At 39.0% G+C, this 26,279-nt stretch overlaps 1 protein-coding gene and 1 pseudogene across 2 annotated transcripts in view, besides 1 other annotated feature; one reads left to right on the plus strand and one right to left on the minus strand.

The window, feature by feature from the left end:
• The window catches only part of C12orf54 (chromosome 12 open reading frame 54), an 83,371-nt gene that overhangs the window by 12,767 nt on the left and 44,325 nt on the right, over positions 1-26,279 (plus strand). The gene's annotated exons all lie outside the window — the stretch shown is intronic.
• Positions 16,112-17,026, minus strand: OR8T1P (olfactory receptor family 8 subfamily T member 1 pseudogene; annotated as a pseudogene).
• Positions 21,282-21,486: a silencer, noted in NCBI's record as "fragment chr12:48840985-48841189 (GRCh37/hg19 assembly coordinates)". NCBI's record gives its function as "represses an EF-1alpha promoter that drives an FKBP-Casp9 reporter gene in an ReSE screen in phorbol 12-myristate 13-acetate-treated (for megakaryocytic differentiation) K562 erythroleukemia cells {active_cell/tissue: K562(+PMA)}" and the evidence as "EXISTENCE:reporter gene assay evidence [ECO:0000049][PMID:32094911]".

Here is a 26,279-nt window from a genome sequence, read left to right on the forward strand (position 1 = left end):
GGGTTGTTTGGCTTTTTTTTTTTTTGTAAATTTGTTTAAGTTCCTTATAGATGCTGAATATTAGAACTTTGTCAGATGTATAGCTTGCAAATATTTTATCCCATTCTGTAGGTTGTCTGTTTACTCTGTTGATATTTTATTTCGCCGTGCAGAAGTTCTCAAGTGTAATTAGATCCCATTTGTCCCCTTTTGCTTTTGTTGCAAATGCTTTTGGCATCTTTATCATGAAATCTTTGCCACTTCCTATGTCCAGAATGGTATTGCCTAGGTTGTCTTCCAAGGTTTTTATAGTTTTGTGTTTTACATTTAACTCTTTAATATGACTTGCATTGTTTTTTGTTTGTAGTATAAGAAAGGGGTCCAGTTTCAATCATTTGCATATAGCTAGCCAATTACCCCAGCACCATTTATTGAATTGGGGACCCTTTCTCCATTGCTTCTTTTGTCATCTTGTCAAAGATCAGACAGTTGTAGGTTTGAGACCTTCTTTCTGGGTTCTCTATTCTGTTCCATTGGTCTTGTGTCTGTTTTTTAATAACAGTACCATGTTGTATTGGTTACTGTAGCCCTGTAGTATAGTTTGAGGTCAGCTAGCATGATGCCTCCAGCTTTGTTCTTTTTGCTTAGGATTGCCTTGGCTGTTTGGGCTCATTTTGGTTCCGTATGAATTTTAAAATTGTTGTTTCTAGTTCTATAAAAAATGTCATTGGTAGTTTGATAAGAATAGCATTGAATCTGTAAATTCCTTTGAGCAGTATAGTCATTGTAATGATATTGATTCTCCCTATCCACGAGCATGAATGCTTTTCCATTTGTTTCTGTCATCTCTGATTTCTTTGAGCAGTGTTTTGTAATTCTCATTGTAGAGATCTTTCACCTCCCTGGTTAGTTATATTCCTAGGTATTTTGTTTTTGTGGTAATTGTGAATGGGATTGTATGGCTGATATGGCTCTCAGCTTAGCTGTTGTTGGTGTATAGGAATGTTAAGAATTTTTGTACACTGATTTTGTGTCCTAAAGCTTCACTAAAATGGTTTATCCACTGAAGGAGCTTTTGAGCCATGCCCATGGGGTTTTCTAGATACAGAATCATGTCACCTACAAACAGCGATAGTTTGACTGCTTCTCTTCCTATTTGGATGCCCTTTATTTCTTTCTCTTGCCTGATTGGTGGACAGGTCTTCCAATACTATGTTGAATAGGAGTGGTGAGAGAGGGCATCCTTGTCTTGTGCCAGCTTTCAAGAGGAATGTTTCAAGCTGTTGCCCATTCAGTATGATGTTGGCTGTGGGTTTGTCACAGATAGCTCTTATTATTTTGAGGAATGTTCATTTGATACCTAGTTTATTGAGGGTTTTTAACATGAAGAAATTCTGATATTTATCAAAAGCCTTTGCTGTATCTATTGAGATAATCATGTGGTTTTTGTCTTTAGTTCTGTTTATGTGATGAATCACATTTATTGATTTGCATATATTGAACCCACTTTGCATCCAAGAATAAAGCCTACTCGATTGTGGTGGATTCGCTTTTTAATGTGCTGCTGGATTCAGTTTGCTAGTATTTTGTCAAGGGTTTTTGCATCAATGTTCATCAAGGATATTGACCTGAAGCTTTCTTTGTTTGTTGTGTCTCTGCCAAGTTAAAAAAGACAAAGAGGAATATTATATAACGGTAAGTGGCCTTGTCCAACAGGAAAATATCACAATCCTAAACATATATGCACCTAACACGGGAGCTCCCAAATTTATAAAATAATTACTACTAGAACTAAGAAATGAGATAGTAACACAATAATAGTGGGGGACTTCAATACTCCATTGACAGCACTAGACAGGTCATCAAGACAGAAAGTCAATGAAGAAACAATGGATTTAAACTATACCTTGGAACAAATGAACTTAACAGGTGTATATAGAACATTCCATCCAAGAACCACAGAATACACATTCTATTCAACAGTGCATAGAACTTTCTCCAAGATGGACCATATGATAGGCCACAAAACAAGCCTCAGTAAGTTTAAGAAAGTTGAAATTATATCAAACTCTCTCTCAGACCACAGTGGAATAAAACCAGAAATCAACTCCAAAAGGAACCTTCAAAACCATGAAAATACATGGAAATTAAATCACCTGCTCCTGAGTGATCATTGGGTCAAAAATGAAATCAAGATGGAAATTTAAAAATTCTTCGAACTGAATGACACTAGCGACACAACCTATCAAAACCTCTGGGATATAGCAAAGGCAGTCCTAAGAGGAAAGTTCATAGCCCTAAACACCTACATCAAAAAGACTGAAAGAGCACAAACTGACAATCTAAGGTCACACCTCAAGGAACTAGAAAAACAACAAACCAAACCCAAACCCAGCAGAAGAAAGGAAATAACCAAGATCAGAGAAGAACTAAATGAAATTGAAACAAAAAAAAAATACAAAAGATAAATGAAACAAAAAACTGCTTCTTTGAAAAGATAAATAAAAGTGATAGACCATTAGCAAGATTAACCAACAAAAGAAGACAGAAAATCCAAATAACCTCAATGAGAAATGAAAAGGAAGATATTACAACTGACACCATAGAAATACAAAAGATAATTTAAGGCTACTATGAACAACTTTATCCACACAAACTAGAAAACCTAGAAGAGATGGATAAATTCCTGGAAAGATATAACCCTCCTACCTTAAATCAGAAACAATTAGATACCCTAAACAGACCAATAACAAGCAGTGAGATTAAAATGGCAATTTAAAAATTACCAACGAAAAATAGTCCAGGACCAGGCAGAATCACAGTGGAATTCTACAAGACATAAAGAAGAATTGGTACCAATCCTATTGACACCATTCCACAAGACAGAGAAAGAGGGAATCCTCCCTAATTCATTCTATGAAGCCAGCATCACGCTAATACCAAAACCAGGGAAGGATATAACCAAAAAAGAAAACTACATACCAATATCCCTCATGAACGTAGATGCTAAATCCTTAACAAAGTGCAAGCTAACTGAATCCAAAAACATATCAGAAAGATAATCCACTATGATCAAGAGGGTTTCATACCAGGGATGCAGAGACGGTTTAACATACGCAAGTCAATAAATGTGATACACCACATAAACAGAATTAAAAACAAAAATCACATGATCATCTCAATAGATGCAGGAAAAGCATTCGACAAAAATCCAGCACCCCTTTATGATTAAAACTCTCAGCAAAATCGGCATACAAGGAACATACCTCAATGTAATAAAAGCCATCTATGAAAAACCCACAGCCAACATAATACTGAATGGGGAAAAGTTGAAAGCATTCCCTCTGAGAATGGGAACAAGACAAGGATGCCCACTCTCACCACTCCTCTTCAGCATAGTTCTGGAAGTCCTAGTCATAGCAATCAGACAAGAGAAAGAAATAAAGGGCATCCAAATCAGTAAAGAGGGAGCCAAACTGTCACAGTTTGCTGACGATATGACTGTTTACCTCAAAAACCCTAAAGACTCCTCCAGAAGGCTCCTCAAACTGATAAAATAATTCAGCAAAGTTTCCAGATACAAGATAAATGCACACAAATCAGTAGCTCTCCCATACACCAACAGCAACCAAGCAGAGAATCAAATCAAGAACACAACCCCTTTTACAATAGCTGCAAAAAAAAAAATACTTAGAATATACCTAACCAAGAAGGTGAAAGGCCTCTACAAGGAAAACTACAAAACATTGCTGAAAAAAATCAGAGATGACACAAACAAATGGAAACACATCCCATGCTCATGGATGGGTAGAATCAATATTGTGAAAATGGCCATACTGCCAAAAGCAATCTACAAATTCAGCACAATCCCCATCAAAATGCCATCATCATTCTTCACAGATTAGAAAAAACAGTACTAAAATTCATATGGAACCACAAAAGAGCCTACATAGCCAAAGCAAGTCTAAGCAAAAAGAACAAATCTGGAGGCATCATACTACCTGATTTCAAACTATACTATAGGACCGTAGTCACCAAAACAGCATGGTACTGGTACAAAAATAGGCACATAGACAAATGGAACAGAATAAAGAACCCAGAAATAAACCCAAATACCTACAGCCAACTCATCTTCAACAAAGCAAACAAAAACATAAAGTGGGAAAGGACATCCTTTTCAACAAATGGTAATAAGATAATTGGCTAGCCACATGAAACTGGATCCTCATCTCTTGCATTATACAAAAATTAACTCAAGATGGATTAAAGAATTAAACCTAAGGCATGAAACTATGAAAATTCTAGAAGATAACATTGGAAAAATCCTTCTAGACATTGGCTTAGGCAAGGATTTCATGACCAAGGACCCAAAAGCAAAAGCAATAAAAACAAAGATAAATAGCTGGGACTTAATTAAACTAAAGAGCTTTTGCGCAGCAAAAGGAACAGTGAGCAGAGTAAACAGACAACCCACAGAGTAGGATAAAATCTTCATAATCTATACATCTGACAAAGGGCTAATATCCAGAATCTACAAAGAACTCAAATCAGCAAGAAAAAAACAAACAATCCCATCAGAAAGTGGGCTAAGGACATGAATAGACAATTCTCAAAAGAAGATATACAAATGGCCAAAAAACATATGAAAATAATGCTCAACTAATGATCAGAGAAATGCAAATCAAAACCACAATGTGATGCCACCTTACTCCTGCAAGAATGGCCATAATTAAAAAAATAAAAAAGCAGTAGATGTTGGCGTGAACGTGGTGATCAGGGAACACTTCTACACTGCTGGCGGGAATGTAAACTAGTACAGCCAAGACGGAAACAGTGTGGAGATTCCTTAAAGAGCTAAAAGTGGAACTACCATTTGATTCAGCAATCTCACTACTGAGTATCTACCCAGAGGAAAATCAATCATTACACAAAAAAGATACTTGCACATGCATGCTTATAGCAGCACAATTTGCAATTGCAAAATCGTGGAACCAACACAAATGCCCATCAATCAACGAGTGGGTAAAGAAACTGTGGTATATATATACGATGGAATACTACTCAGCCATAAAAATGAATCAATTAATGGCATTCACAGCAACCTGGGTGAGACTGGAGACTATTATTCTAAGTGAAATATCTCAGCAATGGAAAACCAAACATTGTATGTTCTCACCCATATGTGGGACCTAAGCTATGAGGATGCAAAGGCATAAGAATGATACAATGGACTTTGGGAACTTGTGGGGAAGGGTGGTGGGGGAGGGATAAAAGACTACAAATAGGGTGCAATGTGTACTGCTCAGGTGATGGGTACACCAAAATCTCACAAATCACCACTAAAAAACTTACTCATGTAACCAAACACCACCTGTACCCTCAATAACCTATGGAAAAATAAAAAGTAAAAAAGAATGTATATTAAAATGTTAATTATAAAATTTAGATGTGATTATCTGGGTATTCACTATAAAATTCTGTTAACTTTGCTGTATGTTGGAAACTTTTCATTTTCAAATGAAATGAATGCTGAATACATGAGTCAATATTTAAAAATTATAAGAGAATATTATGAGAAACAAAATACTAATTAAATTAGATGAAAAATAGTGATGAAAATTACAAATCACCAAAATTGATTCACTAACAAAATATAAAACACAAGTGTACAATAATCATCAAAGGAATTAAATTAGAAATAAAAAATTTTCTCAACAAGACAAGAAATCCTTAAAATGTCAAAGATGAGTTTTATAAAAACCTTCGAGAAAGTGATCATCTCTTCTTTAAGCAAATATTTTAAGAAAATACAAAGATGAATGAAAGCATATTATTGATATCAGTATTGGATGTCTAGAATAGGCAAATCTATATACATAAAAAGTAGTTTAGTGGAATTCTAGGGCCAAGAATGGGGATGGGATTGGAGAGTGACTACCCATAGGTGTGAGATTTCTTTGGGGATGACAAAATGTCCTGAGATTGGTGGTAGTGATGGGTGCAAAACTCTGTAAATATGCTAGAAACCATTGACTTGTGCACTTTGAATGGCTGAATATTGTGATGTATAAATTATAATCTCAATAAAGTTCTTAAAAAGAAAAGATGGAGTGAATGCAATAAAAAAATTATAGTATCTCACTTATAAATACAAATAGGAAATTCCTAAGTTAAATACTGGTAAAAGTTAATTAAGTTTTTAATACTCTACCTAAGTAGGCTGATTCCAGGAATGCAACAATTCTTCAAAAACAGAACATGCACTGATACAATTTGTTATTAACAAATTAAATGACAAAAACCATATAACCATTTCAATGAATTTATTTTTTTCCAAAATGTTTTTATTGCATGCCTATTGTGTGACAGACACTATACAGTACTGAACAAAAGAGAAACAACCGTAGTCCTCAATAGAAGCAGAAAAAGCTTGTGATAAAATCTCACACCAATTCTTAGCAAAATATGTTTAGAAAAGAACTCTCCTTTCAATATAATCCATAGGTTCAGAAAACACAAACAAAAAAGAACTCTCTTAATAACTTAAAGATATTCATCAAAAATAGAACATCATCCTTAATGCTGAAACATGAGAAGCTTTCTCATTGATCCTAACAGAAAGATATCTATACTGGAGGTCCTGGCTGCTGCATGAACTTTAAAAATGAGATATATAAAAATTGCATACAGCCAGGCACACTGGCTCATGCCTGTAATCCCAGCACTTTGGAAGGCCAAGGTGGGCTGATCACCTGAGATCAGGAGTTCAAGTCCAGCCTGGCCAACATGGAGAAATCCCATCTCTACTAAAAGTACAAAATTAGCCAGGCGTGGTGGTACATGCCTGTAACCCCAGCTACTGGGGAGCCTGAGGCAGGAAAATCGCTTGAACTCAGGAGGTGGAGGTTGCAGTGAGCCCAGATCACACCATTGCACTGCAGCCTGGGCAACAAGAGTGAAACTTTTTCTACAAAAAAAAAAAAAGCATATAAAAAATCTTACCCTAATTTAAGATAAAATAATTAAAATGTAATGTTAAAATCCAATAGTATGTATAAACAAGACAGTAGTACTAGAAAGATAGTTCAACAAACTTGACAGATACAAGATCAATGTACAAAATACCACAACGTTCCTATACATCAGAAATAACCAAGTAGTAAATATATCTGAATTTTTAATTCACAATAGGAACAAAAAATAGATGGTATCTGGTAATATATCTGGCAAAATTTATGTGTGACCTTTATCAAAATACCTGTCACCAATGGCAACAGCAGATCAGCCTTGGTGAATGAAAGAAAATGTTGCCGTTTGCATAACCACCACCTTGCTCAGCCACGGCTACAGTGCTTGTGCGTTCATGGACCAGAACTAGGCTCACCAGGAAGGAAAGACTGACCTTTGCATGATAGGCGATTCTATTCAAAAAACTATTTTGAACTGCCTTAGCAGTGGGATCCCTCTGGTGAGAACTTATCCTAAATGGATTCTCCATTTCTTGACTCACAACTTACACATTCAAAGTACAGTTACTGTGCAACAAGCTTTTTTTTGGGGGGGGGGGGGGCAGGATCTTGCTCTGTTGCCCAGGCTGGAGTGCAGTGGCTCAATCTCGGCTCACTGCAAGCTCCGCCACCCAGGTTCACACCATTCTCCTGCCTCAGCCTCCTGAGTAGCTGGGACTACAGGCACCCACCACCACCCCTGGCTAATTTTTTGTATTTTTAGTAGAGACGGGGTTTCACCATGTTAGCCAGGATGGTCTTGATCTCTTGACCTTGTGATCTGCCCACCTTGGCCTCCCAAAGTACTGGAATTACAGGTGTGAGCCACCGCACCCGGCCAGCCAGAAGCTTTTAAAAATATTCTTTGCCAGCGGTGGAGCCAAGATGGCCAAATAGGAACAGCTCCAGCCTACAGCTCCCAGCGTGAGCAATGCAGAAGACAGGTGATTTCTGCATTTCCATCTGAGGTACTGGGTTCATCTCACTGAGGCTTGTTGGACAGTGGGTGCAGGACAGTGGGTGCAGTGCACCATGCATGAGCCAAAGCAGGGCGAGCCATCACCTCACCCCGGAAGCATAAGGGGTCAGGGAATTCCCTTTCCTACTCAAAGAAAGGGGTGACAGATGGCACCTGGAAAATCGGGTCACTCCCACCCTAATACTGTGCTTTTCCAATGGGCTTAACAAACGGCACACCAGGAGATTATATCCCACACATGACTCGGAGGGTCCTACACCCATGGAGCCTCGCTCATTGCGAGCACAGCAGTCTGAGATCAAGCAGCAAAGCGGCAGCGAGGCTGGGGGAGGGGCGCCCGCCATTGCCCAGGGTTGAGTAGGTAAACAAAGTGGCTGGGAAGCTCGAACTGGGTGCAGCCCACCACAGATCAAGGAGGACTGCCTGCCTCTGTAGGCTCCACCTCTGGGGGCAGGGCACAGACAAACAAAAGACAGCAATAACCTCTGCAGACTTAAATGTCCCTGTCTGACAGCTTTGAAGAGAGTAGTGGTTCTCCCAGCTTGCATCTTGAGATCTGAGAATGGGCAGACTGCCTCCTCAAGTGGGTCCCTGACCCCCAAGTAGCCTAACTAGGAGGCATCCCCCAGTAGGAGGGGACTGACACCTCACACGGCCGGGTACTCCTCTGAAACAAAACTTCCAGAGGAATGATCAGGCAGCAGCATTTGCGGTTCACCAATATCCACTGTTCTGCAGCCACCGCTGCTGATACCCAGGCAAACAGGGTCTGGAGTGAACCTCCAGGAAACTCCAACAGACCTGCAGCTGAGGGTCCTGACTGTTAGAAGGAAAACTAACAAACAGAAAGGACATCCACACCAAAAACCCATCTGTTCGTCACCATCATCAAAGACCAAAGGTAGATAAAACCACAAAGATGGGGAAAAAACAGAACAGAAAAAACAGAAATTCTAAAAACCGAGCACCTCTCCCCCTCCAAAGGAACGCAGCTCCTCACCAGCAATGGAACAAAGCTGGACAGAGAATGACTTTGACGAGTTGAGAGAAGAAAGCTTCAGAAGATCAAACTACTCTGAGCTAAAAGAGGAAGTTTGAACCAATGGCAAAGAAGTTAAAAACTTTGAAAAAAAATTAGACGAGTGGATAACTAGAATAACCAATGCAGAGAAATCCTTAAAGGACCTGATGGAGCTGAAAACTATGGCACGAGAACTACCTGACAAATGCACAAGCCTCAGTAACTGATGCAATCAACTGGAAGAAAGGGTATCAGCGATAGAAGATGAAATGAATGAAATGAAGTGTGAAGAGAAGTTTAGAGAAAAAAGAATAAAAAGAAACAAACAAAGCCTCCAAGAAATATGGGACTATGTGAAAAGACCAAATCTACGTCTGACTGGTGTACCTGAAACTGATGGGGAGAATGGAACCAAGTTGGAAAACACTCTGCAGGATATTAGCCAGGAGAACTTCCCCAATCTAGCAAGGCAGGCCAACATTCAAATTCAGGAAATACAGAGAATGCCACAAAGATACTCCTTAAGAAGAGCAACTCCAAGACATATAATTGTCAGATTCATCAAAGTGGAAATGAAGGAAAAAATGTTAAGAGCAGCCAGAGAGAAAGGTCGGGTTACCCACAAAGGGAAGCCCATCAGACTAACAGCTGATCTCTCGGCAGAAACTCTACAAGCCAGAAGAGAGTGGGGGCCAATATTCAACATTCTTAAAGGAAAGAATTTTCAACCCAGAATTTCATATCCAGCCAAAGTAAGCTTCATAAGTGAAGGAGAAATAAAATCCTTTACAGACAAGCAAATGCTGAGAGATTTTGTCACCAAGCCTGCCCTAAAAGAGCTCCTGAAGGAAGCACTAAACATGGAAAGGAACAACCAGTACCAGTGACTGCAAAAACATGCCAAATTGTAAACACCATCAAGGCTAGGAAGAAACTGCATCAACTAACGAGCAAAATAACCAGCTAACATCATAATGACAGGATCAAATTCACAAATAATAATAATAATGTTAAATGTAAATGGGCTAAATGCTCCAATTAAAGGGCACAGACTGGCAAATTGGATAAAGAGTCAAGACCCATCAGTGTGCTGTATTCAGGAAACCCATCTCACATGCAGAGACACACATAGGCTCAAAATGAAGGGATGGAGGAAGATCTACCAAGCAAATGGAAAACAAAAAAAGGCAAGGGTTGCAATCCTAGTCTTGGATGAAACAGACTTTAAACCAACAAAGATCAAAAGAGAAAAACAAGCCCATTACATAATGGTAAAGGGATCAATTCAACAAGAAGAACTAACTATCCTAAATATATATGCACCCAATACAGGAGCAACCAGATTCATAAAGCAAGTCCTGAGTGACCTACAAACAGACTTAGACTCCCACACAATAATAATGGGACACTTTAACACCCCACTGTCAACATTAGACAGATCAACGAGACAGAAAGTTAACAAGGATATCCAGGTATTGAACTCTGCTCTGCACCAAGCGGACCTAATAGACATCTACAGAACTCTCCACCCCAAATCAACACAATATACATTTTTTTCAGCACCACACCACACCTATTCCAAATTTGACCACATAGTTGGAAGTAAAGCACTCCTCAGCAAATGTAAAAGAACAGAAATTATAACTGTCTCTCAGACCACAGTGCAATCAAACTAGAACTCAGGATTAAGAAACTCACTCAAAACCGCTCAACTACATGGAAACTGAACAACCTGCTCCTGAATGACTATGGGGTACATAACGAAATCAAGGCAGAAATAAAGATGTTCTTTGAAACCAACTAGAAAAAAGACACAATATACCAGAATCTCTGGGACACATTCAAAACAGTGTGTAGAGGGAAATTTATAGCACTAAATGCCCACAAGAGAAAGCAGGAAAGATCTAAAATTGACATGCTAATATCACAATTAAAAGAACTAGAGAAGCAAGAGCAAACACATTCAAAAGCTAGCAGAAGGCAATAAATAACTAAGATCAGAGCAGAACTGAAGGAAATAGAGACACAACAAACCCTTCAAAAAATCAATGCATCCAGGAGCTTGTTTTTTGAAAAGATCAACAAAATTGATAGACTGCTAGCAAGACTAATAAAGAAGAGAGAAGAATCAAATAGATGCAATAAAAAATGACAAAGGGGATATCACCACCGATCCCACAGAAATACAAACTACCATAAGAGAGTGCTATAAACATCTCTACTCAAATAAACTAGAAAATCTAGAAGAAATGGATAAATTCCTGGACACATACATCCTCCCAAGACTAAACCAGGAAAAAGTTGAATCTCTGAATAGACCAATAACAGGCTCTGAAATTGAAGCAATAATTAATAGCTTACCAACTAAAAAAAGTCCGGGACCAGATGGATTCACAGCTGAATTCTACCAGAAGTACAAGAAGGAGCTGGTACCCTTCCTTCTGAAACTATTCCAATCAGTAGAAAAAGAGGGAATCCTCCCTAACTCATTTTGTGAGGCCAGCATCATCCTCATACCAAAGCCGGGCAGAGACACAACAAAAAAAGAAAATTTTAGACCAATATCCTTGATGAACATTGATGCAAAAATCCTCAGTAAAATACTGGCAAACAGAATCCAGCAGCACATCAAAAAGTTTATCCACCATGATCAAGTGGGCTTCATGCCTCGGATGCAAGGCTGGTTCAACATAACGAAAATCAGTAAACGTAATCCAGCATATAAACAGAACCAAAGACAAAAACCACTTGATTATCTCAATCGATGCAGAAAAGGCCTTTGACAAAATTCAACAATGCTTCATGCTAAAAACTCTCAATAAATTAGGTATTGATGGGACGTATCTCAAAATAATAAGAGCTATCTATGACAAACCCACAGCCAATATCATACTGAATGGACAAAAACTGGAAGCATTCCCTTTGAAAACTGGCACAAGACAGGGATGCCCTCTCTCACCACTCCTATTCAACATAGTGTTGGAAGTTCTGGCCAGGGCAATCAGGCAGGAGAAGGAAATAAAGGGCATTCAGTTAGGAAAAGAGGAAGTCAAATTGTCCCTGTTTGCAGATGATATGATTGTATACCTAGAAAACCCCATTGTAACAGCCCAAAATCTCCTTAAGCTGATAAGCAACTTCAGCAAAGTCTCAGGATACAAAATCAATGTACAAAAATCACAAGCATTCTTATACACCAATAACAGACAAACAGAGAGCCAAATCATGAGTGAACTCCCATTCACAGTTGCTTCAAAGAGAATAAAATACCTAGGAATCTAACTTACAAGGGACGTGAAGGACCTCTTCAAGGAGAACTACAAACCACTGCTCAATGAAATAAAAGAGGATACAAACAAATGGAAGAACATTCCATGCTCATTGGTAGGAAGAATCAATATCGTGAAAATGGCCATACGGCCCAAGATAATTTATAGATTCAATGCCATCCCCATCAAGCTACCAATGACTTTCTTCACAGAATTGGAAAAAACTACTTTAAAGTTCATATGGAACCAAAAAAAGAGCCCACATCATCAAGTCAATTCTAAGCCAAAATAACAAAGCTGGAGGCATCACGCTACCTGACTTCAAACTATACTACAAGGCTACAGTAACCAAAACAGCATGGTACTGGTATCAAAACAGAGATATAGACCAATGTAACAGAACAGAGCCCTCAGAAATAATGATGCATATCTACAACTATCTGATCTTTGACAAACCTGAGAAAAACAAGCAATGGGGAAAGGATTCCCTATTTAATAAATGGTGCTGGGAAAACTGGCTAGCCATATGTAGAAAGCTGAAACTGGATCCCTTCCTTACATCTTATACAAAAATTAATTCCAGATGGATTAAAGACTTACATGTTAGACCTAAAACCATAAAAACCCTAGAAGAAAACCTAGACAATACCATTCAGGACATAGGCATGGGCAAGGACTTCATGTCTAAAACACCAAAAGCAATGGCAACAAAAGCCCAAAATGACAAATGGGATCTAATTAAACTAAAGAGCTTCTGCACAGCAAAAGAAACTACCATCAGAGTGAACAGGCAACCTACAGAATGGGAGAAAATTTTTGCAACCTACTCATCTGACAAAGGGCTGATATCCAGAATCTACAATGAACTCAAACAAATTTACAAGAAAAAAAACAAACAACCCCATCAAAACGTGGGCAAACAGACACTTCTCAAAAGAAGACATTTATGCAGCCAAAAAACACATGAAAAAATGCTCATCATCACTGGCCATCAGAGAAATGCAAATCGAAACCACAATGAGATACCATCTCACACCAGTTAGAATGGCAATCATTAAAAAGTCAGGAAACAACAGGTGCTGGAGAGGATGTGGAGAAACAGGAACACTTTTACACTGTTGGTGGGACTGTAAAATAGTTCAACCCTTGTGGAAGTCAGTGTGGCGATTCCTCAGGGATCTAGAACTAGAAATACCATTTGACCCAGTCATCTCATTACTGGGTATATACCCAAAGGATTATAAATCATGCTGCTATGAAAACACATGCACACGTATGTTTATTGCAGCACTATTCACAATAGCAAAGACTTGGAACTAACCCAAATGTCCAACAATGATAGACTGGATTAAGAAAATGTGGCACATATACACCATGGAATACTGTGCAGCCATAAAAAGGATGAGTTCATGTCCTTTGTAGGGACATGGATGAAGCTGGAAACCATCATTCTCAGCAAACTATTGCAAGGACAAAAAACCAAACACCGCATGTTCTCACTCATAGGTGGGAATTGAACAATGAGAACACATGGACACAGGAAGGGGAACATCACACACCGGGGCCTGTTGTGGGGTGGTGGGAGTGGGGAGGGATAGCATTAGGAGATATACCTAATGCTAAATGATGAGGTAATGGGTGCAGCACACCAACATGGCATATGTATACATACGTAATGAACCTGCACGATGTGCACATGTACCCTAAAACTTAAAGTATGATAATAATAAAATAAAAAAATAAAAAATAAGAAATAAAAATATTCTTGGCCAGTCACGGTGGCTCATGCCTGTAATCCCAGCACCTTGGGAGGCTGATGTGCGTGGATGGCCTGAGGTCAGGAGTTCGAGACCAGCCTGGCCAACATGGCGAAACCCTGTCTCTACTAAAAATACAAAAATTCGCCAACTATGGTGACAGGCGCCTGTAATCCCAGCTACTCGGAAGGCTGAGGCAGGAGAATTGTTTGAACCTGGGAGGCGGAGGTTGCAGTGAACCGAGATCGTGCCACTGCACTCCAGCCTGGGTGACAGAGTGAGACTCCATCTCAAAAAAAAAAAAGAAAGTATTCTTGAGAAGGTAGTAAAGATGGCAGAAAAATGTCCTTGTTCTCTTTGAGTTTATGCTGAGGAGTTCAAGGTGAAGGGAAGGATGACACTTGCCAGCTTGTAAATAAATAAAAAGTAAAAGGTAATTAGAAAGAATAACTAATTTTGGACCATGATAATTTTAGTCCACATGCCTCCCTCAAATATAGTTCTCATTAATCCTCCAATTGTGTTTCATCATCTAAAGGGTCTTTGTTAAATGTTTCTGGTTTCTTTTTGAAGTTTGCCACAGGCTCTGCCCAGTCCTTCCTCTGCCATTAGCTCTCTCATGGTCTACCATTTCTACAGCATTATTAGGGCCAAGCGGCAGAGCTACTTGTCTAGCAATGTGTATGAGCTGGTGAATCATCTCTGGTTATACATAGGTCCCCTCATAGCTACAGATGGTTGGCCATTGGATGAATAGTTTGAAGCAGGATAAACCAACATGTTATTTACAGTCTCTATGGGACATGCCTAGGTCCAAAACACAATTTCACAGATCCCAATTGTCCTCAGATGTCTATACTTGCAATTCTATTGTGGTACCAATATTTATCTTTTAGGGCCTTTCCTTGCAAATGACAGAATCTAATTCTGACTGACTTAAGCAAAATAAAATAAGATAACAATAATAAATCATTAAAAGGAGAATTCATGTATGGAGTCTGGGGTAGCTCACAGCTTCAGTGGGATAGTCAGTGTATCAAGGTGGTAAAGAAAACAGGCATTTGTGCAAGTCCCATTGGTTCCAAATTCTAACACCACGATTTATCTCCCTGAGCCAGTTTCCTCTTCTCTGAAATAGGAATAACTTAAGCATTTATCTAACGTATGTGTTGTGGTATTTAAATGGAATAAAGAATATAAATTGCTTAACACAGTGCCTGATAGGATGCAAATATCTAAGAATGAACTCTTATTATGATTCATGTTTATAAATCTGGCCTTGAAAGGGCAGAATCTAGGATAACTCTAGTGATCTTATCAGCAAGGGCATTTGCGTAGGCTGTCAGAGTGCTGCATGCAAAAAGGCTGACCTTTGACTCTCTCCTTTAGACTAAAATTCCTAAGACAGTAATCCCAGCTACTTGGGAGGCTGAGGCAGGGGAATCGTTTGAAGCTGGGAGGCGGAGGTTGCAGTGAATAGAGACCGTGCCACTGCACTCCAGCCTGGGCGACCAAAAGAGGCCGTCTTAAAAGAAAAAAAAATCCTAAGAGAGTAAATGATCTGACATTGACCATGTGCCCATTTCTGGACCAGTCACTGTGCCAGGAAGAATGAGTGAATAATGACAGGGGTTGGGGGTGGGGAGGTGAGGGTGGAGAGGATTTGGGGATTCCATGATTAACAGTGTCTCTTGGAAGCATATTGAACCATAGAGTTCAGTTATTAGAGGAATGGTAGAGATAAGCTGAGCAGACAATAACAATGTTTACCATACTGTGTATAATAAATACATATCCTTGTAATAAAAAATTGCTAAGCAAGAGGCTTATCCATCTTCTTCTGACTAGGACTGAACTGGTATCATCCCAAGAAAATAATTTTCCACCTTTTCTTCAGTATTTTTCAGAAAAGGTAAATTTTCCACCTTTTCTTCAGTATTTTTCAGAAAAGGTAAATTTTCCACCTTTTCTTAAATATTTTTCAGAAAAGGACCTCACAGATCCTGACATCAAGGAATTATCCTAGTGTCCATGCACTGCTTGTTGCAGTTCTATCCAGTTCCCTCATCATTCTGATTTCATAAGTCTATTGAAACACTAGAAATATTTTCTCAATGTTCTTCTCACAGCTGCCTTCACCTCCCTGTTCTTCAGGCTGTAAATGAGGAGATTCAGCATGGGAGTGATCACGCTGTACTGCAAGGAGAAGATCAGCTCTTGAATGGATCCTGAATTTGGCATGAGATAGCGGAGTAATCCGGAGCCATAAAAGAAAATCACTGCAGTGAGGTGGGAGGAGCAGGTGGAGAAGGCTTTGCTTCTGCCTGTAGTGGAGCTGATCCTCAGGATGGTGGACAAAATGCAAATATAAGACAAGAATATCATGAGAAAATTTCCAAAGAAATGCAGGAAGCTGGAGCAGAGCAGGGTGGTAAAACTTGCTGACACATCAGAGCAAGACAAAGGATAGAGAGAGGGCAGCTCACAGCTGAAGTGGTGGATATTTTGAGCCTCACAGAAGTCTAAATTGAGAGCTACAAGGATATTGATGAGGGCATCCAGAAAAGCCAAGCCCCATGAGCCCCCCACCAGCCCTGAACACAGCTGTCTGTTCATCACTTGGCCATAGAGCAAAGGAGAGCTGATGGCAACATAGCGGTCATAGGCCATCACAGCAAGCAGGGAGGATTCAGTGCCCCCAGTGGCAAACACAAAGAAGACCTAAGCCATGCAGCCCTCTACTGAGATGGTTTTCTTCTCAGACAGGAGGTTCTCCAACAGCTTAGGTGCAGTGACAGAGGAATGGCAGAGATCCAAGAAGGACAATTGTCCCAGGAAGAAGTACATGGGTGTGTGGAGGCAAGAATCAGCATTAATCACCACCAGCAGCAGCAGGTTTCCCATCACAGTCAGGAGGCAAATCACCACGAACAGCACAAAGAGCAGAGTCTGGGTCTGGGGGCCAGCTGACAGCCCGAGGAGGACAAACTCAGGGACAACACTGCGGTTTCTCATTGCCTTCAGTATTTTATTTGGAATAAGATAAATAAATTGAGTGAAGCCTCTTCTTATGCCTAACAAATATTTAAGTGTTTTAACCCTCTTCTCTATTCACAAATTTTCTTGCTTACCTAAACATTCATATGCAGAAATGATAAACTACTCTGTCCCTATATTTCCTAAACCTGTGATCATCTTTTCTGCAAGACCCCAACCTTAGATTCTCTCTCTCTCTACTTTTATGTTCTTTCTTTAATGTTTCAGTGTTTGTTGTTGCTGTTGTTTTATTATTAAGGCTACTAGAGAGTGTTTGTAAACTATTGCTAATGATCTAATAGGGAGAGATTGAAGGAAAAATAAGATTAAAATGGCAGAAATGGTGTCTCTGAGGGTGTTAGAGCTGAAGTAGAGCATGGCTTTAGGTGGGAGCATGTTTGCTTCATCCTTCTGACAGCATGAGGCGAGCAGATTTGGTGTTGGGGAGGAAGCAATTTCCATCCACTGACTTTTACTTTTTCAATAAATACTTAAGTGAGGTCAGTCATGGAAAGTGAAAAGGGATTGTGATTGGAGAGTTGCAGAGTACAGAGAAAGGGAAATAATCAGAGAGAAGGCAGCACAGAGAGACCTCCAATGCTATGTAAGTGATCATGAGAAACTGTTGGTCAATATAGGAACATACTCCAGTCATAATCTCCATGCCCCGTTTAATCTATATGTGATCTATTCAGATTCAGGTTCAGCTCTTGTCTGTACCCTCGTGCATTTGTAAACATAGATTACCTACTAACCCTAAAGTGTGGTCTTCTTTTTTGCCTACTCTGCAGTGACAGCCCAGATTAAAATCACAGACTCAGGAGAACCCTTCAGCTCTACTGACTACACCATTTTGGCCCTTCCTATTCTGCTCTATCTTTTGTGTTCATACTGCAAAACAGGCACATTCATTCTCAAAGGACTTATGGTTTCTCTCCCACTGTTTATCCAAACACCGCCCAGCATTAATGCTATTCTTTGGAATCGAGTCCATACTACCTGCATTTCTTACCCAGTTTAACAATAAACAGCACAGAATTAAAGAAAAACTTTTTCAAATCCAGAGGTCCAGACTAATAAGTTTGAATATCAATGTGAGAATTATGAAGTTGGGAGTTTGAAAATTCCTGTTGGATATAGATCTCTTCCTTGATTCCTAAAAGAGGAAAATAAAAGGTTAAATAGTGTGTATTATTTCTGAAAACCTAAATACTTCTGTCATGTGGGGAATGCATTTTCCATATTATTTTAATTGTTTTTCTTTTACTCACCAGTGTAGCTCTAGCTAGAGCAACCTGGATTCTTTTTGAGAACATCACATCATTGGCAGAAGATGCTGGAAAGTCAGGGAATCAAATCAAGAAATGCAGACACAGAACCGCATCACTCATTATAATTTGGAGGGCAGCAAAAAGAAAGGTCTCCTCTTTTCCACTTGTCTCCAGATGGAGCCCCATTCACCAGCACTAGAAACTTAAATCGTGGGGGGAATTTCTCCTTTAGAAATGAAGGTCAAAGAGTGAAAATCTTACAAAGGACATTTTCACAAAGGACAAAGTTGGAAATTCTAGCCTGTCAGGGCCTAGACTTCCTCACAGAAAGAAAAATACTGCGTTAGCATTATTCAAGGGGTCACAGGAATAAATAAAGTCATGTCTTATTTTTTTTAACCCGCTGCTGCAATTTCACTATTCTCACTGCTTCATCTATTCAAACTCTGAATCCAAATTTAGAATGGAAACAGCTCTGAGAATGCTACCACTATGGTTATTGATACAATCAGTTGGAGTCAGCTGACTAGATCTTTCCCAAAAAGGCCTGCCTGAGAGGAACTTTTTTAAGAATGAGACATACAAAAGTATCTAGTACTGTGGCAGTCACAAAGGTTGCTCCAAATATATTATTTAAAAATACAAATGAATGGCCGGGCGCAGTGGCTCACGCCTGTAATCCCAGCACTTTGGGAGGCCGAGGTGGGCGGATCACGAGGTCAGGAGATGGAGACCATCCTGGCTAACACAGTGAAACCCTGGCTCTACTAAAAATACAAAAATTAGCCAGGCGTGGTGGCTTGGGCCTGTAGTCCCAGCTACTCGGGAGGCTGAGGCAGGAGAATGGCGGGTGAACCCGGGAGGCAGAGCTTGCAGTGAGCCAAGATCGTGCCACTGCACTCCAGCCTGGGCGACAGAGCGAGACTCCGTCTCTTAAAAAAAAAAATTAATACATTGATGAACGGATGAGTATGTGAATGAATATGGCTCAGGAAGAGAATAGTCTAGGGCTTTGCTGCTCACCGAGAACAGACCTAATTGGGAGCCAGTCGAGGATTTTAGACTCCCTGGGCTTGCATTAAGCCAGATATAGTAAAGGTAATAGAGAAGAATTTCACCAACTGGACAGGTTTGCCCCAAAGCAGTGTGTTTTGCTCTGTTCTGCACTTTCGCATACCTCAGAGTATATAATTATAGGGGATATCCATAATTAAAGATATGGTTAGTTTCTGAATCTCATGTTTGGAGTTCTGGGAGAGGGTTCTTTTTGAGTCACAAAGTGCCCAGAGTCTATCGCTGAAGTCCTCATCTCCTCCCACCCCTTATAGAGAGCTCTCAAGTATTAGCCTCCCCAAACTTCCAGGTTTCTGGCATAATGCGGGCTTTCAGCACCAGAAACAAGGAATATAGCAAGATATAGGAAAGAGATCTTGTCTCAGTTGTGCCATTTGTACAACGGAATCAAGCAATAACTACCCTGCAAAGTGGTGAGGTCTTAATTGCTAACTTGAGTATAGTGCTGAAGACAATTGAGGGGCTGAAGAATCATCAAATTCTCTTTTCTTCACTCCCAATCCAAGTGTTTCATTTTCCCAAAAGGAGGAAGCGAAGTGATGTTGAGGAGCAGACCAAAACATCTTAGGTAACACAAATGGACACCATATTGAGAGAGTGGGGAGGGTACCCTTAAATACCTCTTAAATACCATGAGAACAAAGATCAGATGAGAGGACTGACAGGGAAAGGAAGTGCCTGATGGAAGAATGGCAGGAAGTAGTAGAAACAGAGGGGAACAAAGTAGCAGGGAAAATCCTGAAAGGACAGACGGAAAACATAACCATACTTCTGTCTTTTCCTGGTGCACAATGTATCCTGTTTTTCTGAGTTGGTGGGTGTGCCTCTGAACTTGGGAGAAATTCACAGGCGAGAAAATGTACCACAACTGTCTGATCTTGTGAGCTGACATTGTTTTTTAAGACCTTTTTTGCATAAAGAGAAATACATAAGCTCATTCCTCAAAAGCTCCAGGAAGTAAAGACTTTAAAAAGCTTTTCTGAAGTTTGACAGCATTTTTGCTCTTATGCTGTAACAACTCCAAAACTACAAAGAAAGGGAAACTAGAAACCTTCAAATTCTTAACAGCAACTTCTTTCATACTTCCCCTGGCATAATTACACAATCATTTCTCTATGCCTGTTAATATAGTACTAAGAGCATCATGCTAACAAAGGAGGCGCAGGTCTAGCCATTCAGAAGGGCTGCTGGGTTAAGTTGGCCAAAGGGATGGCAAAGTATGATCTGAAAACCCTGGGGGCAGCTGGGCCCATCCTGATTAGAAAGCTCAGCATGAAGCAAACACTAAGCTCATTAGCTAAAAATGGTTACTAGCTGATTCCACCGGGAATTCCCATTGAAGCTAAGTGACTCACGGCTTATTTTTAGATCATCTTGCCAATATTGCCATGTATTTAATTACTAGATATATTAAAAATAGTGATTATTATACATATGCTGTTATTATTATTAGGCAATCAATAATAATTCAAATCTACCCACATATTTAACTTTTGGTTTTTTGCTCAACTTTTCTGCGTCTAGAACTGAAAATCTTAATAGCTGAAACTGAGATTTCAGTGGATACATTTGACACAAAATAGACAAAGCAGAAGAAATTTTAGTGACTCAAAAGATAGGTAAGAAGAAAATAAGAACTTCCATCTATGAGCATTTTCTTTCTCCTTGAAGTCCTCCTTTTAAATTTTCTCTTAGTGCAAGTCTTTTAGTGATATATATAATTCACCTTAATTCTTAAAGGATTTACTACTGGCACAGAATTCTAACAGGGAGTTATTTTTTATTCAGTAATTTGAAGATATCACTACACTGTCTTCTGTCTTCTTGCTACAAGTCTAATGTGATGGGATTAGTGCCCTTGTAAGAGATATGAGAGCTCTCTCTCTCTCTCTCTTACTCTGTGTGTGTGTGTGTGTGTGTGTGTGTGTGTGTGTGTGTCCCCACCCCATGATGACACCGTGAGGAGGTGGCCATCTACAAGCCAGGAAGTGGCTATACCTTGATCTTGGACTTCCCATCCTCCAGAACAGTGAGCATATAGATTTATGTTGCTTAAGGCACTAGACTATGGTGTTTTGCTATAGCAGTCCAATTGACTAATACAATAGAGAAGACATCTCTTCTCAATTCAAAATAAATGCCTCTACCTGTGCTTTAGATAGATTATTCTGCTTCCTCAGAAGCCTTGCTCCTCCAGACTTGCCCTTCCTTTGCTTAGGATTCCAATTTTCAAAAGTAGGAAATTATAGAACTGAAGTCTTTTTTATACCATTCTCTAATCTATTCCTCCCTATCCATACATAACCACTATCCTAAAGTTAGAATATGGTTTCTCGTGTAGCTTCTTCTGCTACCCGTGGTAGCAGAATTGTCTTCTAAAGATGTCCATGCCCTAATCTCTGAAGTCTATGACTGCTACCTTACATGGCAAAAGAGATTTTGCAGATGTCATTAAAGTTATAGACCTTAAAATAGGGAGATTATCTTGGATTATCCAGGTGGATCTAATCTAATCACATGAGTTTTTAAAAGCAGAAAACTTTCTCCCACTGGTGTGAGAGAGATGTGATAGAAATGGAAGTCAAAGAGATTTAAAGCATAAGAGGAAGTGACCTATTGTTTGTTGCTCAATGAGGGACACACAGAATGCATGAGAAGTAATGTGGGCAGCCTCTAGGAGCAAAGACCAGCCCCCAGCTGGCAGCTAGCAAAAAAAACAGAGACCTCAGTCCCGCAACTGAAAAAAATCAGCTATCAGTCTAAGCTTGGAAGTAGATTCATTCCCAGAACCTCCAGAAAGGAATGCAGCCCTGATGACACCTTTGTTTAGGCTTGGTGAGACTCTGACAGAGAAACCATGTAAGCCACTCGGTACCTGGACTCCTGAATTATAGAGCCATGAGCTAATCAATATGTATTGTTTTAGTTTGCTATATTTATTGTAATTTCATTTGTTACACAGCAGTAGAAAATGAATATATTTCCCCATGTATGCTTTTATATTTTTATTACACATGTCTGTTTTTAAAAACTTTACATAAATGTCTCTTGTTATATGTGACATTCTGAAATTACCTTGTTTTCATTCAACTTGCTTTAGAAATTTATCCAGGTTGATATATGTAAAAATAATTCATTCATTTAATTGTTATAAAGTGTCGCATTATATGATTATACTACATTTCTGCATTTTTCAGAAGATTAAAGAACAAGTAAGAATTTGAACATGTTTTGGTTTATCTGCATATTTTATAGGATTTTCTATGTAGACAAGCACATCATCTTCAAATAATAACAAGCCCTTTTTCTCTCTCTTTCCCGTTGTTACATTTTAAATTATTTTATTTCCTTGTCATATTGCATTAATTGGGACTTTCAATACAATGTTTAGTTGTAGAGGTGAGTGGCCATGCTTGCCTTATTTTAATTGAATACAATACTTCTGTTGATGAAGAGTCTAACTCTGTAAAATATTTGAAGAGATTTATTCTGAACCAAATATAAGTGACCATGGCCCATGACACAGCCCTCAGGGGATCCTGAGAACATGTGCCCAAGGTGGTCAGGTGCAGCTTGGTTTTATACATTTTAGGGGGGCATGAGACATCAATCAAATACAAATTTAGAAATAAATTGGTTTGGTCCAGAAAGGTAGAACAACTTGAAGAGGGGGCAGCTATGGGCTGTAGCTTCCAGGCTATAGGCAAATTTAAACATTTTCTGGTTGACAATTGGTTGAGTTTGTCTAAAGACCTGGGATCAATAGAAAGGAAACATTCAGGTTGAGATAGAAGATTATGGAAATCAAGGTCCTTTTGAAGTCTCATAGTGGCTGCCCTTAGAGACAATAGATGACAACTGTTTCCTATTCAGACCTTTAAAATATGCTAGACTCTCAGTTCATCTCTTCAGGAGTGGGAAGGCCTGAAAGAAAAAGATCTAGCTATTATCTATCAAAAGATGTTAATAGAGATTCTTTACAGATGCAAATTTTCCCCCACAAAGGATGGCTTCATGGGGCCATTTCAAAATAATGCAAAGAAACATGTTTTGAGGTAAAATACTTTCGTTTTCTTTTTTGTCACATAATATTACTCCAGAGTCAAGTTGGAAAGTAAGTCACTATATTGGGTTAAATAAAACCCATCTCATGAGAATTTATGGTTTGTAGGCCATGACTCCCCAGACTGCTTAGATAGGAATTTGGGCAAGATAAGAACAAATCAGAATTTAGTCCTCATTTCTAAAATGTATATTTAAGTAAAAGTTTTCACTAGGCTTTGTACTCTACCATGTTAAGAAAGTTCCTTACTATTTCCAGTTTGCTAAGACCTTTATAATAAATAAGAGTTGAATTTAACTGAATGCTTTTCTGATCTGTTGAGATAACCTGATATTTTTTCACATAAAATTTTAATTAATGGATATTAATAAAACATCTTCTGAAGATTCAATTATAAAATTGTTCCATGATATGATTTGGCTGTGTCCCCACCCAAATCTCAACTATGTCCCCACCCAAATCTCAACTTGAATTGTATCTCCTGGAATTCCCACGTGTTGTGGGAGGGACCCAGGGGGAGGTAATTGAGTCATGGGGGCCAGTCTCATGAGATGTGATGGGTTTATCAAGGGCTTCTGCCTTTGCTTCTTCCTCATTTTTCTCTTGCCGCTGTCATGTAAGAAGCACCCTCTGCCATGATCCTGAGGCCTCCCCATCTATGTGGAACTGTAAGTCCAATTAAACCTCTTTTTCTTCCCCGTTTTGGGTATGTCTTTATCAGCAGCATGAAAACTAACTAATACATTGCATTAATGCTGTAAATCTAACCATTTTAAAACTAGAGGAATGGAGAAGAAACAATCCTTTCTAACAGTCAAAATATATATGTATATGAACAACCTGCCCCTGAATGAATTTTGACTAAATAATGAAATTAAGGCAGAAATCAAGAAGTCTTTTGAAATTAGTGAGCACAAAAGATACAACATACCAGAATCTCTGGGATGCAGCTAAAGCAGTGTTAAGAGGGAAATGTATAACACTGAAAGCCCACATCAAAAAGCTAAAAAGATCTCAAGTTAATAAACTAACATCACAACTAAAAGAACTAGAGAGCCAAGAGCAAACCAACCCCAAAGCTAGCAGAACACAAGAAATAGCCAAGATCAAGGCTGAACTGAAGGAGACAGAGACATGAGAAAACCCTTCAAAAGATCAATGAATCCAGGAGCTAGTTTTTTGGAAAAAATAATAAAATAGACTGCTAGCTAGACAAAGAAGAAAAGAAAGAAGATTCAAATAAACACAATCAGAAATGATAAGGGGATATTACCACTGACCCTAGAGAAATACAAACAACTATCAGAGAATATTATCAACACCTCTATGCACATAAACTAGAACATCTAGAAGAAATGGACAAGTTCCTGGACACATACACCCTCCCAGCACTGAACCAGGAAGAAATTGAATCCTGGAACAGACCAATAACAAGTTCTGAAATTGAGGCAGTAATAAATAGCCTACCAACCATAAAAAGGCCAAGACCAGACGAATTCACAGCTAAATTCTACCAGAGGTACAAAGAAGGGCTGGCACCATTCCCACTAAAACTATTACAAAAAATGGAAAGGGAGGGACTCCTTCCTAGCTCATTCTATGAGGCCAGCATCATCCTGATACCAAAGCCTGGCAAAGATATTTAAAAAAAAGAGAGAGAAAACTTCAGGCCAATATCCTTGATGAACATCAAAGAAAAAATCCTCAATAAAATACTACCAAACCAAATCCAGCAGCACATCAAAAAGTTTATCTGCCATAATCACGTTGGCTTCATCCCTGACATGCAAGTTTGGTTCAACATACACAAATCAGTAAATGTGATTCATCACATAAAGAGAATTAAGACAAAAACCACATGATTATCTCAATAGATCCATAAAAAGGCTTTGATAAAATTCAACATCCCTTCATATTAAAAAAAAAAACTTCTCAATAAACTAGGTTTTGAAGGAACATACCTCAAAATAATAAGGGCCACATATGACAAACCCACAGCCAATATCATACTGAATGGGCAAAAGCTGGAAGCATTCTCCCCTTGAAAACCAGCACAAGACAAAATTGCCCTCCCTCACCACTCCTATTCAATATAGTATTAGAAGTTCTGGCCAGGGCAATCAGGCGAGAGAAAGAAATAAGGGATATTCAAATAGGAAAGAGGAAGTCAAACTATCTTTGTTTGCAGATGGCATAATCCTATTTCTAGAAAACCCAATCATCTCAGCCCAAAAGCTTCTTAAGCTGATAAGCAACTTCAGCAAAGTCTCAGGATACAAAGTTAATGTGCAAAAATCACTAGCATTCCTATACACCAACAACAGGCAAGCCAACAGCCAAATCACAATGAACTCCCATTCACAATTGCCATAATGAATAAAATACCTAGGAATACAGCTAAGAAGGGAAGCAAAGGACTTCTTCAAAGAGAACTGCAAACCACTGCTCAAAGAAATCAGAAATGGCACAAATAGAAAAACATTCCATGTTTATGAATAGGAAGAATCAATATTGTGAAAATGGCCATACTGTCCAAAATAATTTATAGATTCAATGCTATTCCCATTAAACTACCATTGATATTCTTCACAGAATTAGAAAAACCTATTTTAAAATTCATGTGGAACCAAAAAAGAACTCAAGTGGCCAAGACAATCCTAAGCAAAAAGAACAAAGCTGGAAGTATCACTCTACCCAAATTCAAACTATACTGCAGGGATACAGTAACCAAAACAGCCTAGTACTGGTACAAGAACAGACACATAAATCAATGGAACAGAATAGAGAACCCAGAAATAAGACCACACACCTACAAGCATCTGA

This window comes from Homo sapiens, chromosome 12 (assembly GCF_000001405.40).
Source record: "Homo sapiens chromosome 12, GRCh38.p14 Primary Assembly".
Lineage (NCBI taxonomy): Eukaryota > Metazoa > Chordata > Mammalia > Primates > Hominidae > Homo > Homo sapiens.